Genomic DNA, 26,077 nt, shown 5'->3' on the forward strand with positions numbered 1-26,077 from the left:
AGTTCTTATTTCCACCCCCAGCCCCAGGCAACTGTGGATCTACTTTCTGTCTGGATCAATTTGCCTGTTCTAGACATTTCATATGAATGAAATCATTCAGTGTATTGTTTTTCACAGCTGGCTTCTTTTACTTTTGTTGTATTTGAGGTGCATCCTTTTTATTGTAGAATTAGTGTCCCATCCAATGTATATACCACATTTTGCTTTGTTCATTCACTGGTTGATAGGCATGTGGATCATTTCCACTTCAGGCTATTATGAATAATGGTGCTATCGAGTCTTTGTAGACAAGTCTGTGTGGACATACCGTTTCATCTTTCTTGGGGAGCTACCTAGGAGTGGAATTGCTGGGTCCTACGGTAACTCTATGTTTAACATTTTAAGATACTGCTAAACTTCTTTTTTATGTGGTTGTACCATTTTACATTCTCACCAGTAAGATCTTAGGGGTTCTTCTCCTTCAGCCATTATGTCTGCAAGTATTGGGGTACAGATTACAGGGGACATCTTAGATGAGGGGCTGGTAAGCAAAGGCACTGAGACAGGGTGTGTGTAACGTATGCTTCAGGTGCATTGAGGTGTGTTGCAGCTGAATCTTCACTGGTAATGGAAAGATAGGTGAGTAGAAAAATTTGGAAAGAGAAGGAATCCAGAATTTAGTTGTGACAGCAGTAGGGAGCAGTCGGTGTTTTAACAATTTTTCAGTCAACAGAGTAATGGGATTCTTTTTACTGAGTGTTACAGAGACTCTGCATTTTGCCTTTTCTAGTTTTATTATATTTTCCTTTTCATGACAGCCTCTTACTCATTTCCTTTCTATTTCTTTTGCCCTCTTTTTATTTACTCCTATGTGTTTTAATTCTACAGCGTATTTAATTACAAAGAGAGAAAAGGTGATTTTGCAGGAATGGAAGGGAAGGGAAGAGGTTCCTCTCTTTTTCAGCAGTACCTGAACCTGACGCTTAACTGGTACCTTCTTTAAGCCAGGCACTGTGCCAGGGCTAAGCACATACTTGATATTATTTAATCCTTGTGAGATACATGTGATGAGTCCCACTTCACACATGAAGAAATCAAACCATACAAAGGCAAAGTGACTTCTGTGACATCATATTGCTAGTAAATGCCACATCTGCTAGACTCCAGAATCCATGCTCTTTGTGTAAACCTGTGCATGGCCTCTTCAGGGAGCACGGTTCTGTCACTAGAAACCATCCCAACATAGCTTCACTTAAATGGAAGCTAATGGTGATTGCTGAAGGATAGCAGCCTTGGTAGTTTCTCTTTGAAGTCCTGTCATTATGAGATGCTCTGGTGTGTTTACATGGGAGCTAAGGTGTATTTTCATATATATGTTCTGTATATTATTATGTTCTGATTTTTTTTAAAAAGCCTTTCTTGCTGGGAAAAGACTGGCCTTTCTGGGTCTAGCCAATTCTTAGAGTAGGAACATGATTCTGTCTAACAGAGGATAGTCCAGGAGCCTGCTTTTCATATGCAAACCAACCAGTCCAGAACCAGACCTCCTCTATGTGGTCCAGGCACCCCAGGATACAGTGTTCCTCTGCCCTAATCATTCCCTGGAATGGTACCAGACAACTAGGGACCACCTCTGAAGCTTAGAGCCAGCTGGAGTTATTCGAACTAGTCAATCCTTAATTGGTCATTCTGTTTCCCCTGCCCTGCCCATGGAAAGCCCAGGAAAGGCTCTGGTCTAAGCTGGCCTCTTGTCTTCTGCCTCCTGACCACCCTAGTATCTTTCCATGTGGCCCTTGATGGCCTGCCATGCTTCCTGTCTTGGGGACCTTTGAGTGTAATAAATTTTTTTCCTGAACTTCTCCTGTGCTCTGTGGCCGCACCTGACTGACCATCACATAAAAGAATACAAAACGTAAGGTGAATAAACTATTACCAGGAAATTCAGGTTGGAGTCTAAGTCTTAACTAGACAAGTTAGTGAGATCCTGCAACTACCATTAGGAGAAAGCAGTGTTGTTTTTATATTATGATTATGAAGGTATAACATTCTAGACAGTTGGGAATATATAATTTTTAATTCAGTCCTAAATGCATCATGAATATAACCTAATGTGATACATATTTATGTAGTTTTGATCAAGGAATACGTGAAATCTGACACTCCACTTTTATACCTTATGAAATATCATGTTAGCTATATGTCAGTATACTTCAAATTATCTGTTTTTTTTTTTTTGAGACAGTGTTGCTCTGCTGCCCAGGCTGAAGTGCAGTGGTGTGATTTACACACATGGTTATGTGTGTAAATAACCATGTTGCTTTCTAAAATAGTTGTAGCAGTTACTCTCTCAGGCCATGCATGAATAGACCAGGCATCTTCATCAGCCTTGACTGGTGCAATTTAAAACAAAACAAAAAACAATCTTCTATTGTCACTTGTTATTTGAGTTCTTCTACATCTGCTTTTATTTTTTCTTCCTACTCAAAAGTCTTCGATTCTTCCTCATTCTCTGTAGAAACAATGATTACTATTAAGGTTGAAATACCATATTTCTTCAATTCTGAGACATGGACTTGTTCCCATTTCAACAGTTCTAAAATTGGAATGCTTCTGTCAGTTGATATCCAAAGCACTTTGCCACATTTTCTTTATATCCAGTCTATTATTGAATACTATGCAGCCATAAAAAGGAATGAGATCATGTCCTTTGCAGGGACATGGATGAAGCTGGAAGCCATCATCGTTAGCAAACTAACACAGGAACAGAAAACCAAACACCACGTGTTTTCACTCATAAGTGGGAGTTGAACAATGAGAACACAGGGACACAGGGAGGGGAACATCACATACCAGGGCCTGTTGCGGGGTGGGGGGCGAGGGGAGGGAACTTAGAGGACAGGTCAATAGGTGCCACAGACCACCATGGCACACGTATACCTATATAACAAACCAGCACGTTCTGCACATGTATCCCAGAAATTGAAGCAAAATTAAACAAAAAAGCATCTTCTCCACCCCTAGGCAGAGGAGTAGGTTGTGACTGGTTATTATCACCTGACCCTGGCCAGCATAGAAGACATCTTGCCATTCCCTGGACACCTTAGTTGAGTTATTTGCACTTTATAGTACCATAGCAGTTGAATTTTAGCTTAAATTTAAATCCCTAATTAAACCATCTCGGAAAATTACGCATTGATGTGGCATTGAAATTGTTATTATGGTTCAAGAGGAGTTTTGGAACCAGATTTTTTATAAATGAGGCAAGTACTTGTACTGGCAGCTAGTCATACTTCTTTTTTCCTTACAAAACATGATCAGGTGCTGTGTAGGCTCTAGGAAAGAGGGATGTCCACCCACAAATGGATGAAGCTGTGCTTCATTGCAGCATTGAGATTCAGGCAGATGGATTGCCAGTGACGTGGCAGACAGTGCAATTAATGTAACAAAATGTCAACAGCCTTGGGAATTGATCATAGATTGAATTCCCAGAGCTAGAAGACATGAGTATGATTCAGTCATGCATCCCGAAGGACAAAAACCCAAGTGTAGCTCACAGCTGACTGTCAAAAGCAGTTAATTTCTAGCTATATGAAGTTTACAGAAGGAAATAAAATTACAGATTTAACCAAATAAGACATGCAATTGAGACTAATACCTTTGGAGGGGCCTCAGAATTCTATTTCCTGTCCTAATAATGTTCAAGGGTGTCAAGATTGGAAACACTGCTCTAAAGAAAGCTGTATGCTTTTAACATTCTATTCATAAACATTATAACCCAAAACTATTCATAATAATAATTAGTACAGTAAAGGCTTAGTCTTAAACTTTGATTGGAATAATAAAGAAGAAAGCAATATGAAAGTGAAATCTTACGGATTTGTATCATGTTGCCAGGTTATAACAAATTTTTAAATATACATTTAATATTTCTGCTTTCACTCTAATCATTATCAAATTAGTCATATCTTAGAAACCAGGATATATGATGTTATCCTATACTTATTTAAAATTGTTTTGTATTTTAAAATTCTTGGGATTATGATCATTCAGTGTAAACAATACTGTCTACATAGTTACTTAATTTGCTTTTTTTTTTTTTTTTTGAGATGGAGTCTCGCTCTGTCTCACAGGCTGGAGTGCAGTGGCACAGTCTCGGCTCACTGCAACCTCTGCCTGTCGGGTTCAAGCGATTCTCCTGCCTCAGCCTCCCGAGTAGCTGGGATTACAGGCACCTGCCACTGTGCCCAGCTAATTTTTGTATTTTTGGTAGAGATGGGGTTTCGCCATGTTGGCCAGGCTGGTCTTGAACTCCTGACCTCAGGTGATCCACCCGCCTTGGCCTCCCAAAGTGCTGGGATTACAGGCGTGAGCCACCATGCCTGGCCAATTTACTTTCTTAACCTATTATTTTTAAAGGAAGAAAAAGCAAGCCTACTTTTACTAACCATAGCAGATGTGAGAAGATTTTATAAAACAAAAAAAGGGGAAGCAAGTTACCTGGAAAGAGGACAGCCATTAGAAGATGCTTTTGTCTTGGTAGAAATGAAATCACATTTGTTCAACAAAATGACAGTCACTCTACATAAAACTGGGTTTTATTTAAAGAGAAGAAACTGGGCGCACAATAACCCAGCAGAACAGACCCCACCCCCATTGGAGTCTCAGCTTGTTTCTAATTGTATTCTGCATGATTTAGATTGGAATTGTAGACCTGAGTCTGTCATTTGGAACCAAACGTCCTGTTGCTATTCATGGAAGAGGGAGTTAACAATACGAAATCGTTTGCTTTCCACATGTTTTGAACTGCTATCAGGAAGGAGGGGCCTTTCAGCTCAATAAGTTTTCCATTTCTCCCTACTTCTGTCTCATCTCAAAATGCGTTTTAAAGTTAACTGAACAATATTAAGTGATGAAATGATTTAAGTAGAAGAAAGATTAGTGAGAAGTATCACGATATTCAGAGGTACTTGGGGGCTAATACATGTTAAATTTTAAGTAGACTGTGGTTACATGAGTCTTTTTTTTTTTTTTTTAATTATCTCTTGATAGGCCCTGCTATTGTAAGCACAGGAAGAGAGAAATCAATACATTTGTATATCTGCCCATTTTGGTTTGTTTTCGTAAGAAAAATATCTGGAGCTTGTGAGCACTTTCTGTGGTGACTGCTGCTTGGGATTGCTCCTTCCTGGTTCCCGAACCCTGGATGCCAAACTTCTTTGTAGGCCTTTCTAAGGGAGCGTACCCTGTCTGTGGCCTGTGTTCAGTGCTGCAATGTATATAATAGATTTTCAAGGCTTTTTTTTTTTAAGTTACCTGGAAAGTTATTTTATTTCAATCAGTAAATGGTCCTAAAGAAATTGCTGTGCATTGGGCACTCTGCCACATTGCCAACTCACATTACCACCTGAGAGTTTGTTGAGGAATCATCCGCAAGCAATTCGTAGGAGGAAAAGGAGACCTCAAGAGACTCACTTGAAAGCTTTTCTGGGCCATCTCGTTGCTAGAAAGTCATTCAACAAACATTTGCCAATGTCGTCTTTGCTTCTGGAAAACTGGGAAGCAGATGTGATTGAGAGTTCTGATTTGCAGGCTCAGGGTCTGGTGAGGGATGGCAGACATGTGGGCAGGTGAACAACAGCACCGAGGGGTGGGAGCTGTAGTGGAAGTGGGCAGAAGTTGCTGTGGAAGCACAGAGGTGGAACCCTTTTTGCCTGAGAACATTTCGGAAGGGCTCACAAAGACATGGCATTTAAACAGAATCTTGATAGAATTTGGTCAGTGCAAGGGGAGTGAGAAGGAGTTTTCAGGGCAGTGGATACTCATGTACAGACAAGGAGTCCTGGGAGGTGGCGAGAGGTCCCCATGGCCACTGGGGCTTACCGAACTCAGAGAATAGGGAGAGATGTGGGTGGAAACCCTGGTCACAGGGGCATTCACTTCAAAAGACCATACCTGAATCCTCTGAAAGCCTAAAACGTAGTAGGAATGAAATCATGGATTTCACAGGATAGGATAGCTTGGAAAATGAGCACAAGAGCTTACATTGCTTTTCCTCCCATCCTCTTCTATCAAACCACAGATACTTCTCTTTTTTTTAAACCTTTGACTCTGAAGTCTTCAGGGCTTCCGGGCAGAATCTCTTGCATTGGGAGTTGCCTTGACCTGGAGGAATTCATTCCAACAGCTATTCCTAAAAGACTTTCTGTCCTGGGTCCTTTGTCTCTGTGATTGCTAAGAAAGCCCAGGTCAGGGGTCTGTCCCTTCCTTCTGGGGCCATTTAATTCCACTCCCTTCTGTGGCTACAGACTGAGATGCTAAGCCACGATCCCACCTGAGCTGCTGCCACAATTAGCTTGATTCATGCTGTCACCTTTACCATTTCACCTCAAGAAAAACCTGAGAAGGAAAGAATTGATGTGCCATAGTCGGGGTGGCTGCATATTTTCAGACCCAGTTTTGCAAGGCGTAGTTGGATTAACTGGACACTTCAGGGATCTCAGTCAGTTGCTTAAAACTGAACCTAGGCCCTTGGTGGTGTGAGAGACCCCCTCTCCATGTGCAGGTAAAGATCCACGGTACCTCCTACCCCCCAGTCCACCCCATGTTAATTTACTTTTTAAATTAAAAAAGTGATGCAGGTTTGTTATGAATAGTTTGAGCAGTTGAAAAGAATATAGAATAAAAAGTGAGATCCTCCTTGCACACATACATGCCTGTGGTCAGCCAGATCCCAAAATTTGGAATGTATCCTTTTAGACTTATACGTATGTATCTACAACCATTATACGTATACATATACATCACTTGTTTTTACTAAAAAGGGATTATGCTCCAAGTGTTTCCTGCAACTTCATTTTCCCTACCTAAAGTGTCTTGGACATATGATGCCTTTTACAGCAATGAGAATTTGAGGGTAAGTCTCAGTTTTTATTCTCTGTGGTAAAGGTTTCTTGATAAGTAGAGTTGTCAGATTTATCAGGTTGCCCAGTTAAATTTGCATTTCAAATAAACAGTGAATACTTTTTTGGTGTACATGTCCTATACAGTATTTGGTATATATGTTCATATGTACTGAAAAAGTATTTGCTGTTCATTTGAGATGTGAGTTAACTGGGTTCCCCGTTTTATCTGGCAGCTCTGCACTTGTTAGTTCACTTACGTATCATTGGCTTGGGGTTGTTATTGTTGTTCTATGAAAAACTTTTCATGCACAAAACCTTGAAACCATAAAAAGGTCCTGTTTCCTGGGAAAGGTGGTGTCTGGGCCAGTGTTCACACACCTGATGAATGAGAAAGGTTTGGGGCCAGCTCAGCTGGGCACCCAGAATTCATTACTTGCCTCTATTGGAAAGAACTGGCCCGTGTAGCTGCTTTGTAGTTGGAGCTGAGACCTGACTCTTTCATCCTAGCCACTATGTGAAGTTGCCACTAGTGGTCACCTGAAGTTGTGTGGGTGATATTAATTGAATTTTTGAAAAACTAAATGCTGGTATTTGTAGGAATTTGCAGTGCAGACGGGCAGCCTTTCAACCAGTGCATAGCATAATTAGAGCAAGCTTTTAAGATTCTTTGAAGTGCCAAATGTTTATGAAATTCAAATAGGGGTGCCAATCTGCACAATAAAGGGGCCCTTGGTGGTGTTTTTAAAAATCTTCTATTTTGTAGATGTAAATATATGCCATAATTAGCGGGAAGTAACTTGAAGAGCCACGGCTGAGTTTATTCCTATTATTCTTATTTAAAACAGCTGTGGCAGGCAGGCTACAGCTGCTGTCTCATCATTGGGTTGGGCAGGGCATAAGGGCCGAAGTGAACACACTCAAAGACTCTTTTCTGAGGGCAGCTCGTTCACTCCCCCTACATGCTGGCTTCCTTGCTGGGGAGCTGTCTCACGGTTGGCCCAGCTTCCCCACCCACCCCAAGCCTCTGAATGTCAATGGGACTGGCTTCAAGGGTCTTAGCCAGAAGGCACTTGCCTGCAAATGAGAGGGCGAGGAGCCTTTTAGAGCAGCCAGCTTTCTCCAGACCTCCCCCTTCTCTCTGCCCATGGCAGTGCTGCCTCTAGGGGCACTGTTGCCCCACAGCCCCAGGCCCAGTGCAGAGCGATTGTCCTTTGGTGCCTGTGGGAGCAGCTGCAATGCCGCACTGCGTGCCCTGCCTGGCCGAGCCTTACCATGTGGCAGGCCTGGACGGCTGCCCGCCACAGGGCCCAGCTCCCAGCACCGCCTGCCAAGGAGCCAGATGCTACCATTGGAAAAAATTGCTTCACAATTTGAAATCTTGGTTCTTTGATCATTGCTCGGAGAGGATGAAGAAGAGAGGTTCAAAGTAGTGTTTTAAAATGCCAGCGTCTCGTTGCAGCCATCAGTGCCTATTAGACTGTCTCTGGTTGGGGACAGTCCTCTTGATGTTTTCATTTTTGCAACCAGGTCATTCTCCCCAGCTCTTCCAAGCCCTCTGGATAGGAAGGGAAGGTCCACAGCCTGCTCCTGACCCTGTGCCCCTGCTGTCCCCCTGCCTCGCGCCTTAGAGGTTATCTGCTTGCCTTTGTTCCAGCAGGCTTTTCCCCAATAAAGCTTGTAACAAAGTTGTTGTCATCCGCCAAATGCTGCCACCGCGTGAGCTGCTCACTCCCATTCTTCACTGGGCAGGAGTAGCCTTCACTTCCTGATCCTTCTGCCCCCACAGCCAGGTCTCCAGAGGACGGAGGTTTTGCAGGGATGATCCACTCTGTCCCCTGGCCTAGCACCCGCCTCCAAGGACTTCAGATCCCACATACTTGGGTGAGGCTTCATTCTTCCTTACCCTTGAAATGGGAAGGGTCAGTCTTTGGAGAGTGTTGCATTTTTCATATTTACTGCCAAAAGGCAAAAACATGAAATTTAAACCAAACAGATCCAGGATGGCTGGGCATGGTGGCCCACGCGTATAATCCCAGCACTTTGGGAGGCCGAGGCAGGTGGATCACTTGATGTCAGGAGTTCAAGACCAACCTGGCCAACATAGTGAAACCCCATCTCTACTAAAAAATACAAAAATTAGTGTGGTGGCGCACATCTGTAATCCCAGCTACTTGGGAGGCTGAGGCAGTAGAATCTCTTGAACCCAGAAGGTCGAGGTTGCAGTGAGCCAACATTGTGCCACTGCACTCCAGCCTGGGCAGCAGAGTGAGACTCTGTCTCAGAAAAAAGAACAGATCCATGAATAAATGGGCTTACTGAGTAAGAGGTAATAGAGGAGAAACGAATCCAGACTCTTATCTGGGGACTAAACTGTTTCAGTTGTGGAAGTAATGAGTATAAGAGAAGGATGATTTGGGAAAGAATTTGGAAACTTTTGATGGGGTGTATTTTTGTTTTCTGTTGCTGTCCGCTTCCTCTGCCCATCATTGAAACCGGCTTCTGCTTCGACTTTTTGTTGTTTTTCAGGACTTGCCCACAAATAGACCCTAAAGTCTTTAATTCACTCAACACACGTGTTAATGATGGCCTTTTTTTTAGTCCCAGAAAGAATTCTATAACATGTCTAATCATGCCTTTTGAGAAATTTATACCTGTTTGAGCTGTTATACTCAATACGTAAGACCCGTCATAAACACAAATCAGAAAAAGTCCTAATTTTTCTGTTTGGAAAAAGCCAGTGTTGCATCTGTGCCACACACCCGACAAACGTGGGTTGGGGCCAAGACTGGCTCCATGGTGACAGTCTTTATCGTGTTTATTGATTACAGACTCTTGTCTCGTTGAGGAAAGGTGTCAGTGTCTCTAGATGTGATTTGAGGCTCTGTCTTCATCTCTATTGTGGTCAATATTTCAAATTGACAAGTGAACAGGAGTGATGATAGGTATTGTTAATGACTGTGAATTTTATAGTACATTATAGATTACAGGTGAATTTTATATGCATTATCTCCTCATATTACCACCGTGGCCTTTGGAAACACATCATCTTCCCTGTGGATAAAGATGAGAAAAGCGAGACCCAAAAAGTGATTCCAAATCTCTCACTTCTGCTGCCTGTGCTGTCAGTCCAGTGTCTGAGATGAGATGACAAATGAGAAGCAGCATTCACAGACGCCTGGACCAGTGTCGGACTGGATGGGATGAGTGGAGGACTGAACTTTGTAGAGTTTAACAAAAGTAAATGTAAAACTTGAATCTTGGGAAGCAAACAGAACCTGAAGAACTATGTGGGTGAGGAGGAGGAGAGGAATGGTGAAGTTAAGGAGGAAAGGAGAGAAAACTGCAGAATTGTGTTACAGAAGTGTTCTTCGGTCTGTGGTACCCGAAGTTCTGGATGGAAGTTACAGAGGAGCTCATTTCAACTTAACAGATGTAATAGGCAGCATCATGGATCCCCAGACATGCCTCCTCTGTAGCCATGGAATCTGTGGATAATGGTACATTACATGGCAAAGGGGAATTAAAAGTTGTTAATCAGCAGATAGAATATCTTGGATTATCTAAGTGGGCCTAGCATGGTCCCAAGGTCCCTTAAAGCAGAAGAGGGAGACAAAAAAAGACATCCAGAGAGACGACAGCTGGCAATGTGAGAAGGATTCGGCTGGTGTTTCTGGCTTTGAAAATGGAGCAAGGGGCTCCGGGACAAGGAATGTGGGTGGTCTCAGAAGCTGGAAGAGGCAAGGAAACAGAACCCTCTTCAGAGCCTCTGTCTAGTAAGGAGTTGCGTCCCTTCTAGTTCCTTGATCTTAGCCAGCCTGGAGCTGAATTAAATTTCTGACCTACAGGAATATAAAATAATTAGTTTGTCTTGTTTTAAGGCACTAAATGTGTGATAATTTGTAGCAGAGAAAATTAATATAACAGAAAAAAGCATTAACAGTTAAGGCTGTCTGGCAATATTATTATTATTTATAAATAGAGATGGGGTCTTGCTGTGTTGCCCAGGCTGGTCTCAAACTCCTGGGCGTAAGTGGCCAGCGTGCCTGGCCCAGCAGCATTATTGAAGTGATTTTCCTGTGTCTGAAAGTATTTAGCTTTAAGGCAGTGCAGGTCAGGATGCTGTGGAAAGGATTTCTGCTTTTGGAGGTAGGAGAGAGTTGACCTCTGAACTAAGTTTCAGCTTAGCGTTTAGGGTCTCTGTTTCTAGAGCAAACAGGGAGAAGATTTCTTAGAAGGACTCATTTCCCTGGACTTACCTTCCCCAGCCATATTTCTAAGTGTTGTTTTTTAACACTGCAGAACCTGGCCTATGACCAGCCTTTTTGGCTAGCTTGTGCCCAGAAGATGGGATATGGTTTGACTTTGGAATTTATTGGAAAGATAAGTTTTACTAGTTTTCAACTGTTTCTTGGATTTTTGTTTTTATTTACTTTTAGAAAATATCCTGTGGTTAGGTAAAAGCTGATTAGGCAGAAATAGTTTGTATCTCTGATAGTGGTACATTTTTAAAAACTCATTTTCTTGCCTTCAGAACTACATGAAATAGGTTTGCTTTCCACCTGGAGTGATTTTCAGTTGGGAGGGGGGACGTGTCAGTAGGGTAGATAATGAACTCTGCAAATCCCAGACTTCTTTGTTGTTGACTTAATGCTAGCATTCTTTCTTTGATATTACCTTCACTTCATGGGAGTTCAGTGACTGCATTTCTTTCTGGAATAGCCATAACACTATCAGCTGACAGATAATTATATATATATAAAATTATATATATCTTGATAATTATATATATATCTTGATAATTATATTTTACATCAATACTTCCTCCTAGAAAATTCCTGAAGAGCATCTGTGATATGGTTGGATAGCTACATAATTATTTTCCATGTTCAAGGGTAATTACAAAGCAGTTGTAATGGCAAATTGGTTATTTACTGTTAGTTGGGAAGCCTTTTAAAATCTAATCTCTTAAATTTACACTAATAATTAAATAGAGAATTTTCTCAGACTGTTTCTCCCTACCTCTTATCTAAATGAAGGATAAAATGCACGTAGACTCTATGACCGAGTAATTACACTCCTAGGAACGTCCAACAGAAACACATCCATATGTCCCTCAAAAGCATATTCAAGAACGTTCATAGTAGCACTCTTCTTAATAGGTCCATTTGGAAGCCTCGCAAATGTCCCTAAGTAATAGGGTGGATAGATCGTGGCATTTTTCATTCAATGGAATATTCTACAGTAATGAGGATGAATGAACTATATACAACAACATGGTTGAGTCTCACAAATAAAATGCTGAGTAAACAAAACTAAACACTGTAAACCCTGTTGCACTTGCTTAAAGTTCAGAAACCAGACAAAACTAATGTGTGATGTTTCAGGATCATGGTTACGCTGGCAAGGTGTATAGATGATTGTGCCTGGAAGGAAGGATATTTGGGGGAGAGAGGGACTTCCATTTCTTCATCTGGGTGCTGGCTCACTTGATGAAAATTAATCAAGCTGTAAACTTCCAGTTTGTGTACTTTTCTGAATGTATATTTTAATTTTATGTAAAACTGTTAACTTTGACAGCTTTAAAACATGTAATTTGTTGGGATGGTTTCTGAGGGTAGGTTGGGTATTCTTTAATAACTTTGTTTTGAATAATTCTATCATTGTAACTACAGATCATCCATTCCAAATGGAAGCTATATTAAAGTTGTTTGGGGAGTTCTAAGAGATAATGGTAAACCAATGGTGAGGTGGTAGGAATGGTCTGCCGCAGCTGCAAGCAGTAAGGACTTTGCTTGGCTGTAGGGAATTTACAAACAATGGCAAAACCATCTAAAAAATCAATTTTCTTTTTATTATCACCATATTAACTGACAAAACCTCCTTTGTTGGCCTGAGTCCTAAATAATTGGTGAAGTTAGTGTTGAATTTTTTTAATTACTTTTTTTTTGAGACAGCATCTAGTTCTGTTACCCAGGCTGGAGTGCAGTGGTACAAATCATGGCTCATTGCAGCCTCAAACTCCTGGGCTCTAGGAAGCTTCCTATTTTAGCCTCCCAGGTAGCTGGGACTACAGGCACATGCCACCATGTCCGGCTAATTAAAAAAAAAAAATTATTTGTAGAGATGGCATCTCCCTATGTTGCCCAGGCTGGTCTCGAACTCCTGGGCTCAAGCAATCCTCCTGCCTCAACCTCTGAAAGTGCTGGGATTATAGGTGTGAGCTGAATTTTTATTTTTTATATATGTATGTATACAACATATGTTGAATTTTTATTTTATATATAGAACATCTATATGCTTCAAATTAGCAAGCACATTATCCATTATATTACTTCTCCTTCAGTAACACATGTGGACTCAGCCTAGTACTCATTTCAGGTGCAGTCTGAGTCCACAGTCCCCATGGTGCTCCTTGTTCCAGTGGTTAAACAGATTTGTCAATGAGCAACAATAGTAGAATGATTATGAAGATGAGGAAACAGAACTTTTTTTCCATTCCTTCATTCTCTGTTTCTGCTTTGGGAATTTTTACGTTTACAATTTTAAATAACTGAAGTAGAGTGCTGGTTATTGTTGAAAGTCATTTTGTCAAATAAAGGAAGGCGGTCTTAAAAATGCGTCAGATCTGCTAGGTGTGCCACTGCTGTGGGACAGCTGCTTTCACCAGCGTTACTTAAGCATGGAACCTCGTACAGACAGAACCGTAACAGTTGTGAACATATTCAGCAATTTTACTAACATCATGATGAATAATACCATTCTAAACTTAGTTAACATTTTAAAATTATATATATTGACAGATTATTTTTTCTGTTTTAAGGTTGACAGTTTTTAAAAACAATCTATTTACTCTCCCAGTGACCCACCTGCCCCCATACACAATTGCTTATTTCACTGTGTTCCCTTCCATAGTCCAGTCTGTACACCAAAATCACTAGACTGCTTTCCCCCATGCTTAGAAATAGGGTCTTGCTACGTTGCCTAGGCTGGTCTCAAACTCCTGGGCTTAAGCGAGCCTCCTGCCTCAGCCTCCTGAGTAATTGGGACTACAGGTATTCTACCACACCCAGCTTGCTAGACTGCATTTGATTATTTACTAGTCTTTCAGAACAACTTGATTAATCAAAATCAACTAGTACAATGTTAGCTTACAGTGTATTCATAGCACATGGAGACTCTTTTTCAAAGCTAGGAATTTAAAGTTGAAAGAAAGAAAAATAATTTCTAATGCACCTTTTCTGCTCAACACAAACTTATTGCAGCATCATTGGGAAGCATCATAGATATTCATCAGTAGAGCGTGTATTAAATTATGGTGTATCTGTGCCATAGAATAGTGTGCAGCCACTAGAAAGTGTGGCTGTTCATTATTTCAAATGGCTGTACTTTATAGTACTGAAATTCCATGTTAGTACTATATGAGTTCTAAGTGGCATAGGTATATATATATGTTTAACGCAAGGTTTTAGAAAAGTTAATATAATGTGCTACTGTTTGTGTGATAAAGGAGGAATGTATATGCTTGAATACCTAAGTGCTGAATATCTCTGAAAGGACACTTGAGAAATGGATAACATTGGTTACCTTTAGGGAGGTTGGCAAATTTTGGGGTTCATGCCCATTTTACAGTTTTATTTTTCCCCCGTCTTTACCACATGCATGTTTTCACTTTTTTAAAAAATGTTGGGCTGCGCCAGGCATGGTGGCTTAGGCCTGTAATCCCAGCACTTTGGGAGGCCGAGGTGGGCGGATCACCTGAGGATGGGAGTTCGAGACCAGCCTGACCAACGTGGAGAAACCTCGTCTCTACCAAAAATACAAAAAAAATTATCCGGGCATGGTGGCGCCTGCCTGTAATCCCAGTTACTTGGGAGGCTGAGGCAGGAGAGTCGCTCAAACCCAGGAGGCAGAGGTTGCGGTGAGCCAAGATCGTGCCATTGCACTCCAGTCTGCAACAAGAGCAAAACTCCATCTCAAAAAAAAAAAAAAAAAATCTGGAACGTTTTGGCACAGGCTACATCATAATAATAACAGCATTAATCCTGCCACCATAAAGCACCTGAACTGCTTTTCACAGCGAAGTATTCTAAGGTGTCAGCAAAGCGAGGCAGTGGCAGTTCTTGAAGGTAACACTGCCATGTTGAAAGCTCGATGGGAATTCCAGTGTTCAGAGCCCCTGTGTGCCTGAGGTGTATGGTAGCCCCTCTGCCCTGGAGACTGGAGCTCAGTTAGACCCAGGGGCCTCTTCAGCCTTGGGAGTTCAGATGCTGATCTCATTTAGGGAAAGACATGCATGATTTCCTGCTGAGCTGCTCTTTTGTGGAGCCAAATGTTAAACCTTTGAATGTGAGAAAAATGCACACCTGGGTATTTTTGTTTGTTTATGATTTATACCCCATAAAATCCAAAATGCAGAATGTGAGGAAAGCTCACTACATTTATGGGTAACATAAAACCGGATAAGTACAAGTTAAAGCAGATTGGAAACCAGTAAAAGGAGCTGTACCCTGACTGTTAGTAGCTATTAGAAGCACCTGAGACAAGTTAATTATTGTAGTTGAACTCTGAATTTAGCTTTGAATTTCTTGGCACATAAGGTGAAAAGGGGAATGTGGAGTACATGGTTCTCTTTTTTTTTTTTTTTTTTTTTTGAGACGGAGTCTCGCTCTGTCGCCCAGGCTGGAGTGCAGTGGCGGGATCTCGGCTCACTGCAAGCTCCGCCTCCCGGGTTCACGCCATTCTCCTGCCTCAGCCTCCCAAGTAGCTGGGACTACAGGCGCCCGCCACTACGCCCGGCTAATTTTTTGTATTTTTAGTAGAGACGGGGTTTCACCGTTTTAGCCGGGATGGTCTCGATCTCCTGACCTTGTGATCCGCCCGCCTCGGCCTCCCAAAGTGCGGTTCTCTTTATTTGTAGACAGAAAGTAGGAAGTTTTGCCTAAGGAGTTGGACATTTTCCTAATAACCAATTCAAAAAGGAAATTTAAATGTAGATACTTATTTTAAAGTATATGATGACTCAGGTCTTAGTGGTTAGTGCCTGTCAAGGTATAAAAATTAGCCAGTCAGAATCTGCCAAATCTGGAGCAATACGGTGCCTCACACCCGTAATCTCAGCACTTAGAGTGGCTGAGGTGGGCAGATAACTTGAGGCCAGGAGTTTGAGACCAGCCTGGGCACCAAGGCAAAACCCTGTTACTACTAGAAATACAGAAATTAGTTGGGCGTGGTGGCACATGCCTGTAATCTCAGCTACTCAGGAGGCTGAGGCGGGAGAATCCACTGAACCTGGGAGGTGGAGGTTGCAGTGAGCCTCGCACCAGTGATTCCAGCCTAGACGACAGGGCCAGACCCTGTCTCAAAAAAAAAAAAAAAAAAAAAAAAAAGTGCCAAACCGCACAAAATATAAAATCTCATTTGAGTGTCAGATCCACGTACCTCTGCTTCAACAACCACCACGGCAGTCCACATTTATCATCTCTCGCTTGGACTGCTATAATGGCCTCCTAGTATATATATATATACATACTTTCTGCTCTCTTCCGGAGTCTTCTCCGAGCCATGGTCAGAGGTGCCTTTTGGAAGGCAGAGCTGGTTGTGCCCTGTCACTGTTCCAGGCCTGTCTGCTCACTGTGTCCTTTGGTCTCAGGATATTTCACCTCTCCAGCTCTCCTGCCATCCTCTCTCTCTTGCTTTCTCTTTAGCGCTTCTTTCTGGCTCTGTGCCCTCTTCTCTCTTATGGAATGCTTCTCTTGCCTAAGCCTCGTCTTCTTTCTTGGGATCTGAGTTGCATCATCATTAGAAGTGTCCCTGACCCTGGGGGCCCACTCCTCACCGTTTGTGCTCGTGTCCCCCCGTACCTCTCTCCCTGGTGCTTAGTTCCGTGTGGTATGTTCCTCACTTAATTGTAAGCCTCACGAGAGCAGGCCCTGGCTCAGCTTTTGCTTTTTTTATCCGCAGCTCTGAGCATTGTGCCGGATGCGGAGCAGGGGGTTGGTAGATACTTGAGGGAAGGCAGCTATTACTCTGTGGCTGTCTTTGGTCTGTTTTGTGCTGCTACAACAGAATGCCACAGCCTGGGTAATTTATAAAGAACAAAAATTCATTTCTCACATTTCTAGAGGCTGGGATGTCCAAGATCGAATCTGTAGCATCTGGTGGAAGGCACATGAAGGGCCAGAGAGAGCCAGCTTACTCCTGAAAGCCCTACTTATAGCAGCGTTAACCCATATGCAAGGGCAGAGGCTCAACACCTAAACCCATCCCAAAAGGCCTCACCTCCAACACTGTTGCACTGGGGTTTAAGCTTCCAATGCATGAATTTGGTGGGGGCACATTCAGACCACTGCAATGATCAAACGCTGCAGCAGCCAGTTTCCCCAGTGGACATTGCATCCTGCTGAAGACATTTCTCTCTGAAGCACAGTGCTAATCATACCACTTCCTTGGCACGCAGGCTTTCAAGGGAGTATCCATTTCCTACAAAATACAATCTAAACTGTCTTCTTCGCCCCCATAACCTGTGCCCAAGTTGCATTTCCAAACTCCCAGTCTGAGGTCCTTAATCCATGCCCAGAAGCTAGAATGCAGCACTCCAGGCCTTGGCCTGCACTGTACCCCCAGCCTTCCCTGCATGTGCCAGTCTAAATCATTCCTCAACTGAGACCACCTGTGGAAAGTCATACCTTCCATTGCTGCAACTCTAAGTATCTCTGACATGGTACTTATTTTCTATCTGAATGATAGTTATTTTATGTATCTTCCATATCAGTTGTAGGCAAAACCCGTACATTGTCTAGCATGAACCTTTCATAGTAGGTGCTTAATAAAAATGTGTTAAATGAATGGCAACTTAAGTCATTATTTAACATCTTTGTAAGCCAGTCTTTAATAGGAACCATTTCCCCTCCAGATATTCTAATTTTTAAGAAAGTTTCTGTTTGTACATATATGACAAATGGCTAGTCAGCTGCAGTCTCTTGTTTTTTTTAAAAAATATCTCTAAAGATGAGTGAACATGAATCCAATTAATATCCTGCTTTCTGTGCATATTTCAAAGACCTTGTGGATCTTTTATTGCAAGGGTATAGTAGTATTCTGATACTGAATGCAAGAAAGTAAAACAAAATTGATACTTGTAGCATGTCATTTCAAGAGAGGACTGCCCAAATTAGCAAACTCTTTAAAAAACGACAGATGGGTATTGAACTTGTTTCTAGATGAGCATCACCTTCCCAAGCCAGCCCTCTTCATTCAGCCAAGCAGAGGTCTTACCCTGAAAGTTACTGCTCGGTGCCATGACTCCTGGGATGAGAGAATAACCCACACCTCCATTTCCTTTCCAACAGGCTGATTTAAACTGCAATATTCAAGATGATGCTGGGGCTTTTTATGGTGTAACCAGTCAGTACGAGAGTTCTGAAAATATGACAGTCACCTGTTCCACCAAAGTTTGCTCCTTTGGGAAGCAAGTAGTAGAAAAAGTAGAGGTAAGTTGGCCTCTGTATACTGGAAACTTCATTCAAGGGCAGACTGTTGCCTTCCTTTAAACCTTCCTTGGGGCAGAGAGTTGTATTTTTGGATGTCTGCTTCTTACCTTCTGTATTAGTCCATTCTCACACTGCTATGAAGAACTACCTGAAAATGGGTAGTTTATGAAGAAAAGATGTTTCATTGACTCACAGTTCCACAGGCTTAACAGGAAGCATGATTTGGGGGGTGTCAGGAAACTTAGAATCATGGTGGCTGAAGGTGAAGGGGAAGCAAGGCACGTCTTCTCATGGTGGCAGGAGAAAGGTGGGTGGGAACCACCACACACTTTTAAACCATCAGATCTGGTGAGAACTCCCACAGTATCACAGGAACAGCCTGGGGGCCACCTGCCACCAGGCCCCTCCTCTGACATGTGGGGATTACGATTCGAGTTGAGATTTGGGTGGGGATACAACCAAACCATATCACCCTCCTTCTTTCTCCCACTTCTTTTTCCTGTTAACTTCTAAAAAGCCAAAGTGATTTGGAAGCACCTGAAAGGAAGCAAATAGGATGTCCCGTGCCAGTCCTCTGACTGTGTCTGAAGTCAGCTGTGCCCTGCTCAGCCAGTGCTGTGCACCTTTGCTTGAGGCCTTGTGGGGTAGTGTGGTATGAAAGCTGGGTCGAGATAGGCCCTGCCACTCAGAATGATGCCCTCCCTACACCCAACCCCTAGGTCCAAGGGCACTCCCAGGCATTGTAGATAGACGTCAAGGTGGTACTCAGCTGATTGGCACCTGCCCTCTGAAACCATGATACCTTGAGTTTGATATTGTTGCTTTTGCCATTTCCACTGCCTTCGCTTTTAATTGTTTTAGATAGAGTTTATTATATATTAGGATCCAATCTCTTTTTACGGCTTTTATGTTTCATACCTTCCTCCCTTTAAAAAGATGTATATTTGTTTGATCAGGGTGAGTTGCTTTGTTGAATAATGTTTGTTGTTGGCATTCCTTAAAGGTTGTATTTTTTAGTGTCTTCTATCCATCACCCAATTAATTGATCCATGTTCAGTGAGCAGTTTTTATTTGCAGTGGCCCCAGACCTTTCAGGTTCAAGAGCCCACCTTAGCTGTACAAAGACTTTGTGCTGAGGAGGGAGAGAGGGAGAAGGATATATTTCTTAAGACCCTGGGCTAAGCAATGAGGATTTGGGATGCTGCAGGCCCTCGTAGCACAAGCCCCCTGAGCAATGGACAGGCCTTATGAGAATGTTGTTGAGGAAAGGTTATGCTGGCAGAAGAGGATCCAGGGGAGTTGACTCAGATGGACAATTTAAGCTTAGGGGTCATGAGCTTTCCCACAATGGTGGCAGTGGGAATCCTGTAAGATGTTTTGAATGGAACTTAGAAACTAACTGGATATTAATGAGGAGGAAGAGTCAAAAGTCACACTCACATTTTATGCTTGGAAGGATGGTACTGCCACTAATAGAGATAAGGAAATAAGGTGTTCAAGAGGAAATAGGCAATGATTATAGATGCAAGACTAGAACTTGGATGACAGGTAAAGACTGGAAATATAAATTGGGAATCCTGAGCATTAAGGATTGGGAATGGAGACCTAGCTGCAGAGAGGGAATAGAAAGGGCACAGGAATAAGGATTAAATTTGGGGAGCAGCCACTAGCCCTAGGATAAGTAGAGGGAGACATAAACAGAAGAACAGAGGACAAAAATGAGTGGGGAGGGCGGGAATTGGCTCAACATAATGTCTAGGAAGCCCAGGAGGTGAGAAGGTGGCTGTATCATGAAACATGGCTGGGACGCCTGGAACCAGATGACCTCCTCGCCTCTAAGAAGGAGGAAGCAAAGTTACCTGTGTGTGATTGGGAGTGTGGAAGATGAGTGTTAGGCAATGTTAGTGAATAGCTAAGTTGTCAGGGATGTTCTCTGTAGTTGAAATTCCCTGCCTGGACAGGTGCATTTGAGAAAAGATGAACCAGACAGCTTACTCAATTTCCCAAATGTCAAATTACTGGTGTCCTCAGACGATACACCCAAAGCTCTATGCAAATTCAGGGAGCAGGGAAAGGTTGCTCTTGACTGATAAAATCACAGGAATTTTTATGGAGAAGGTGGTGTGCATGGTAGGTGGGGTTTTACCTTTAAGCCTTTTATCTGTTTAGAATGTGTGTCTGCATTTGGTGTGAAGTAGTAGTCCACTTATATTTTCTTCCAGATAGGCGTTTGTATCAAAACCACTTATGAAATGATTCATTCTTTCCCAGTTAAACAGATCTGTCCCCTTTAAATTACCATATATTCTGAGAGCTGTTCCTGGAGTCCCACTGTTCTATTCCACCCACTATTTGTGTCTACGTATCCCAGTACCATGTGGATTTGATTACAGTGGCTTTATAGTATATACTGATATTTGATGAGGCGAGTCAGGCTCACTATTCTTTTTCATATATTTTCTAAGCTAGTAACCAACATTTATTCTTCCAAATAATTCAATCACTTAAACATATAAAGAAAAACAAAAACCTTGTTTGAGCAATCTAATTGTAATTGCATCAAACTTAGATGTTCTTTTGGAAAAATTTTATATTAAATATTTCTAATCAAGAATGTATTTGCATTCTCATTTCATTTTATGTATTTCAATAAGATTTTATCATTTTCATTATACAGGTTTGTCTCTTTCTTGTTAAATATATTTCTAAATATTATATAATATGTTGTAATTTCCTGTTTCTAGATTCGAATTAATAGAGAAAAGCTCTTGATTTTGCATATCTGTCTTCAATATGGCCATCTTAGCAAATTCTCATACTTAACTTTAGTTTTTCCCCCAGATTCCTGGGGTACCCTTGTATAGTTAACTGATGTTAGTTGAAAAAGTTTTGGTGTTTTGCCCTTTAGGATTATATTTACTGTAGGCTTTTATTAATGGTCTTTATTACTAATTTAAGTGTTTTCTTTCTATTCCTATTTTACTTAGGATTTTTATTAGTTACAGCTGCAATACGTTATCAAATGCTTTTCAGCAACTGTTGCTATATGATTTTTCTTCCAAGTTGTTGACATAACAAGTTAATACATTTCCTCAATGTGTATGAAACACCATAGCATTTCTGAAACAGTCTTACTTTGGATTTATTGTTGCATTCTATTTGCTGATATTTTACACAGAATTTTCACATTACATTTCATAAGTAATATTCGTCTATACTTTTTTCTTTTCCTTTTTTTTTTTTTTTGAGATGGGGTCTCACTCTGTCACCCACACTGGAATGCAGTGGCATGATCTTGGCTCACTGCAGCCTCAGCCTCACTGGGCTCAAGCAATCCTCCCACCTCAGCCTCCTGAGTATCTGGGACTACAGGCCTGTGCCACCATGCCTGGCTAATTTTTTGTATTGTTTTGTAGAAATGTGGTTTCGCTGGTCTGAAACTCCTGGGCTCAAGCGATCTGCCTACCTCAGCCTACCAAAGTGCTAGGATTAAAGGTGTGAGCTGTCACACCCAACTATATACCTTTTTCAATAACCTGTTTGCCAAATTTCAGTCTTGAATGTACACTAGTTTCATAAAAAGAATAACACTGGAAATAACTATTCTTTAAAGATTACATAAAACTTACTCCTGTGAAACTATTTGGTCTTTATATGTTTTTTAGCATGTACTTTTAATTAATTATTTTTAATTGATAGATAAAAATTTTATACATTTATGGTGTATAACATGATGTTGTGAAATATGCATACACAGTAGAATGGCTGAATCGAGCTAATTAACATGTATTACCTCACATAGCTTACCAATTTTTGTGGTGAGAACACTTAAATATTCTCTTAGCAGTTTTCGAGGATACAGCGCCTTGGTATTAACTGTAGTCACCATGTTGTACAGTAGATCTCTTGAGCTTACTTCTCCTAACTGAGATTTTATATCACTTGTGGCCTCCACCTTTTTCAGTGGTAAATAGCTAAACTTGTTAGTTGTGGTCATTTCCACAATGACTGATCTATTTGTTGACATTTTCCCCTTCTTTTTGACTCAGTGTTAGCAAGTTGTATTTTTCTGGGAAAGCATCTCTATCTGCTGTGTTTTCTTTGCTTTGCCGTGTGTGTGTGTGTGTGTGTGTGTGTGTGTGTGTGTGTCTGCTTTAGGGTTATGTGAAATAATCTCTTATGTATCTTCTAATTTGTACTGTAATTGTGGTTTTGCCACTTTTCTTTTTTCTCCTTTTTACTTGTATGAAGAGTTTATTTTGTCTGTCTAAAGGACCAGTTTTTAATTCTGTCTGCATTTTAAATTTCTATTTCATTGATTTGAGCTTTTATCTTTATTAATTCCCTTTTCCTGGCTTCCTTTGATTTCTTTGTGGTTTGGGTTTTTTTTTTTAAGGATGTGTGTTTTATTCTGTAAATTTTTACCTTTAATGATGAAGACATATGAGGCTACTTCATTAAGTTTCCTTCAAGTGCAGCTTCATCATGGCTGATACGTTTTGATGTAAAATATCTCCCTTTTCATTGCTCTTTAGTTTATAATTTTCTTAATTCCTTTTGATCCAAGGTTATCTAGGAAGCCTTGTTTCTTATTTCTGAGTTATTGAAACTGCATATATACTAGTATTTTCTTAGTTTCTTCCTTTCATAAACAGGTGACATTCAGGGGCTCATGATCCGTGAGAAATAATCAGTTTTTTCTAAAGTAGAGAGATTAGCTATATTGGTTGTTAACCTATGAGGCTTTATCACAATAAAGAGATTTTCTTTGAAGAACTGTAGCTAGCTGGGGCCTGCTCTTACAGATCTCCTCCAGGTAAAGCATCATAATTAGGCAGTTTTATTTTTTTCTGACCTTTGCTAAAAGGATCTGTCAACGCTTCTTAAAGCTCTCATCTTTCCAACTAATTTTTTAAAAAACTTCCAGAAAAATAATGGATTCTATGTATAGCAATAAATTTGGAGATAGTTTTTTTTTAATTAAGTAGATTACGTAAGTAGTATAGCATATAGAAGATGATTCATGTTGAAAAACTAAAATGCTTTTATGGGCAGTAATATCTGTTTCATGTGTTTTGGAGTCAAAAGTGTAAAAATACTGAAATCCTTTTTTCCTCACAGACGGAGTATGCAAGGTTTGAGAATGGCCGATTTGTATACCGAATAAACCGCTCCCCAATGTGTGAATATATGATCAACTTCATCCACAAGCTCAAACACTTACCAGAGAAATATATGATGAACAGTGTTTTGGAAAACTTCACAATTTTATTGGTAATGGTTTTGTCTCTTTCCTCTGTGGGCAGATGCTGCCATGAGGCTTGACAGAAGTGAGGAAGGTGGGCCTGGGAGGCGCTGGGCCTGCGCCGAGGGAACTGACCAGGTTGTTGGATTGGGTTCCTAGTGGTCAGTCAGCAGTTGAATTTGCATCATCCATAGGGAAAACTTGGGCTTGATTCTGTAGAAGAGAAGGGGTTTTATCTGGCTGGGGTTTCTAAGGTTCGCAGAACTGGAATTCAGTTGGGTAATAAAAAGTGATGTGTTTTTATCTCTGGCTGCAGAGTAGAAAGGCCTGGAGAACTTTTAAACATCCGGCTGTATCCTAGATCAATTAAATCAGGATCTGTGAGAACAGGACCCAGGCATGTGTATTTTTTTAAGTTCCGCAGGTAATTTCAACATTAGCCAAGTTTTAGTCTCAGCAGCAACATGGTATGCAAATCAGGCAAAAGCTGAGTTGGTATGTTTGTACTTCAGACATACCTTGACATGTTCCATGATGGACTTCCAAGGCCTTCTAAGAAGTTACATGCATTAAGGCAGGAAAATATAAGCTCTCAGTACCAGAAGAAATATAAATTAGAATAGAATGCATGGAATGCAGTGACCAGGAGGAGGAAAATGTTCTTCATAGGCTAAAAAATCTGGCTAGGCTGAGTACAGTGGCTTATGCCTCTAATCTCAACACTTTGGGAGGCCAAGGTGGGAGGATCCCCTGAGCCCAGGAGTTCAAGACCAGCCTGGGTGACATAGTGACACCCTATCTCAAAACAAACAGACAAAACAAACTTAATGGGCAGCTAAAGGAAAGGGAAAATAGTGTTCAAGGTCCATGATGGGAAAACTCACCAGTGCCCCTGGATGGTTCTATGTGGGTTTTCCCCTAATACTTAACTTTAAAACAAATTTCTTCTGGGAGCTTTATTTGGGGACTTCAGAAGTTGTTAGGAACAATGTCATCCTCAAAATAGAAAATACTCAGTAATGGGTTTCATAAGGCTCATTTAAAAAAGTAACATTACTTGATTAAAGGGAAAATGCCAAAACAAAACTTGAGGGAAACAATCTTAGCAAAAGAGGGGCAACAAGGCTATACTGTGGCCAAATACTCCTCTGAAAGCCTACTTTATTCCTTTTTGTTACTAGGATTAAGAATCCATACAGCAGGAATTCTTTACTTGGTGTTTTTGGTTCCATTGGGACAGTGGCTTTCAATCAGCAGTGTTCTGTTTTTTTGTTTTGTTTTGTTTTGTTTTTGTTTTTTAGAAAGGCTGTTTCCCAGTTTCCCAAAACTCTAATTTATACCTTTTACCTATTTCTGTGGTGTAAATATGCCCTTCATGGGCAATTTCAAGCTACCGATAGCTATTCAGCTAATGAAATTCCTTAATATTTAACAATAATTTTTATGAGCCAGTAGGAGCCAGCTTCTATACACCATTGTATAAAAAAAAATAAGTAACATTTAAAAATAAAAACCCTGTGCATATTAGATTCATCCAGGAAGGTTTAAAACATCTAAGGCCTAGGCCCCACCCTGGATGAATAAAATGAGTCCCTGGAGATGGGGCCCAGCATCCTGGTTTTTATTTTTTAAGCTCTGCATGTAGTTGAAGTGTGCAACCAGGTAGAGACCCACTGCTGTAAGAGATTGGGAAATGAGCCGCAAGGACTCTCAGAGTTTATAGACACATGATTGGCATACAACTAGCAAACAGATAATTTTGCATATAATTTTCGTTTGTTCCAAGAAGAGAATCTTAATGGGTTCTCAGATGTGCCCATGTCCTTCTAAAATTTAGAAGCCAGCATTCAGGGGAAGTTTGGAATACATGCTCTTTAATAACATTGATCAGTATTCCTTTCTTTAATGGCCCTTTGGTGAAAATAGAGCAATTCAAGGTTTGCAGGACTGGCATATAGCAGGTGCTTGACATATAGGTGCTTCCTGTTGCTATCTAAGAATAGATGCATCACTTTAGCAGTCAGACGAGTAGAAGGTAAGTGTGACATCTACTGAGGATCTTAAGTGGCCTCAGGAATTAACCAAAACTCTGAATGAATGGCTTCCCTGCCTCTCTTGGGGGGGAGTCTTAGCTGTTTATTAAAAATCAATTCTGATTCTGTTTCTGCATGCTAAGGATGCATGTTCTCAGTCCGTAAAACTCTACCTCAGAGAGCACAGCTAAGATAAATGTGGCCTGGAAAAGTGTTAAAGCCCCTGTTACCCACAGAACCTGACTACAGTTGTGCACTGCATAGCAGTGTGAAGGGCGGACCACGTGTATGGTAGTGCTCCCATAAGATGATAATGGAGGTGAAAAATTCCTGTCACCTAGTGATGATGCAACTATTATATAATACAGCATAATTATTTTTAAAAATAAATTTAGGTTAGCCTAAGTGTACAGTACAAAAGTTTACAGT

General features: G+C 41.1%; 1 protein-coding gene and 1 long non-coding RNA gene across 2 annotated transcripts in view, besides 2 other annotated features; one reads left to right on the forward strand and one right to left on the reverse strand.

Annotated features, from left to right (window-relative positions):
* TEAD1 (TEA domain transcription factor 1) overlaps positions 1-26,077 on the forward strand; it is a 270,317-nt gene that overhangs the window by 232,262 nt on the left and 11,978 nt on the right. Inside the window, 2 exon segments of the mRNA NM_021961.6 lie at positions 18,230-18,370; positions 23,492-23,644. Coding sequence (NP_068780.2) covers positions 18,230-18,370; positions 23,492-23,644 — 294 coding nt within the window.
* Positions 7,249-8,113: an enhancer, noted in NCBI's record as "NANOG-H3K27ac-H3K4me1 hESC enhancer chr11:12935478-12936342 (GRCh37/hg19 assembly coordinates)". NCBI's record gives its function as "activates a minimal SCP1, AML or CMV promoter by ChIP-STARR-seq in naive H9 embryonic stem cells {active_cell/tissue: H9 hESC(naive)}" and the evidence as "EXISTENCE:reporter gene assay evidence [ECO:0000049][PMID:30033119]".
* Positions 8,114-8,977: an enhancer, noted in NCBI's record as "H3K27ac-H3K4me1 hESC enhancer chr11:12936343-12937206 (GRCh37/hg19 assembly coordinates)". NCBI's record gives its function as "activates a minimal SCP1, AML or CMV promoter by ChIP-STARR-seq in naive H9 embryonic stem cells {active_cell/tissue: H9 hESC(naive)}" and the evidence as "EXISTENCE:reporter gene assay evidence [ECO:0000049][PMID:30033119]".
* On the reverse strand, positions 14,504-16,243 carry TEAD1-AS1 (TEAD1 antisense RNA 1). The gene is made up of 2 exons (NR_199594.1): positions 15,769-16,243; positions 14,504-14,594 (listed from the first exon to the last, which is right to left on the reverse strand). It is a non-coding gene; the product is annotated as a TEAD1 antisense RNA 1 (long non-coding RNA).

The sequence above is a fragment of the Homo sapiens genome, chromosome 11, assembly GCF_000001405.40.
Source record: "Homo sapiens chromosome 11, GRCh38.p14 Primary Assembly".
In the NCBI taxonomy this organism is placed as follows: Eukaryota; Metazoa; Chordata; class Mammalia; order Primates; family Hominidae; genus Homo; species Homo sapiens.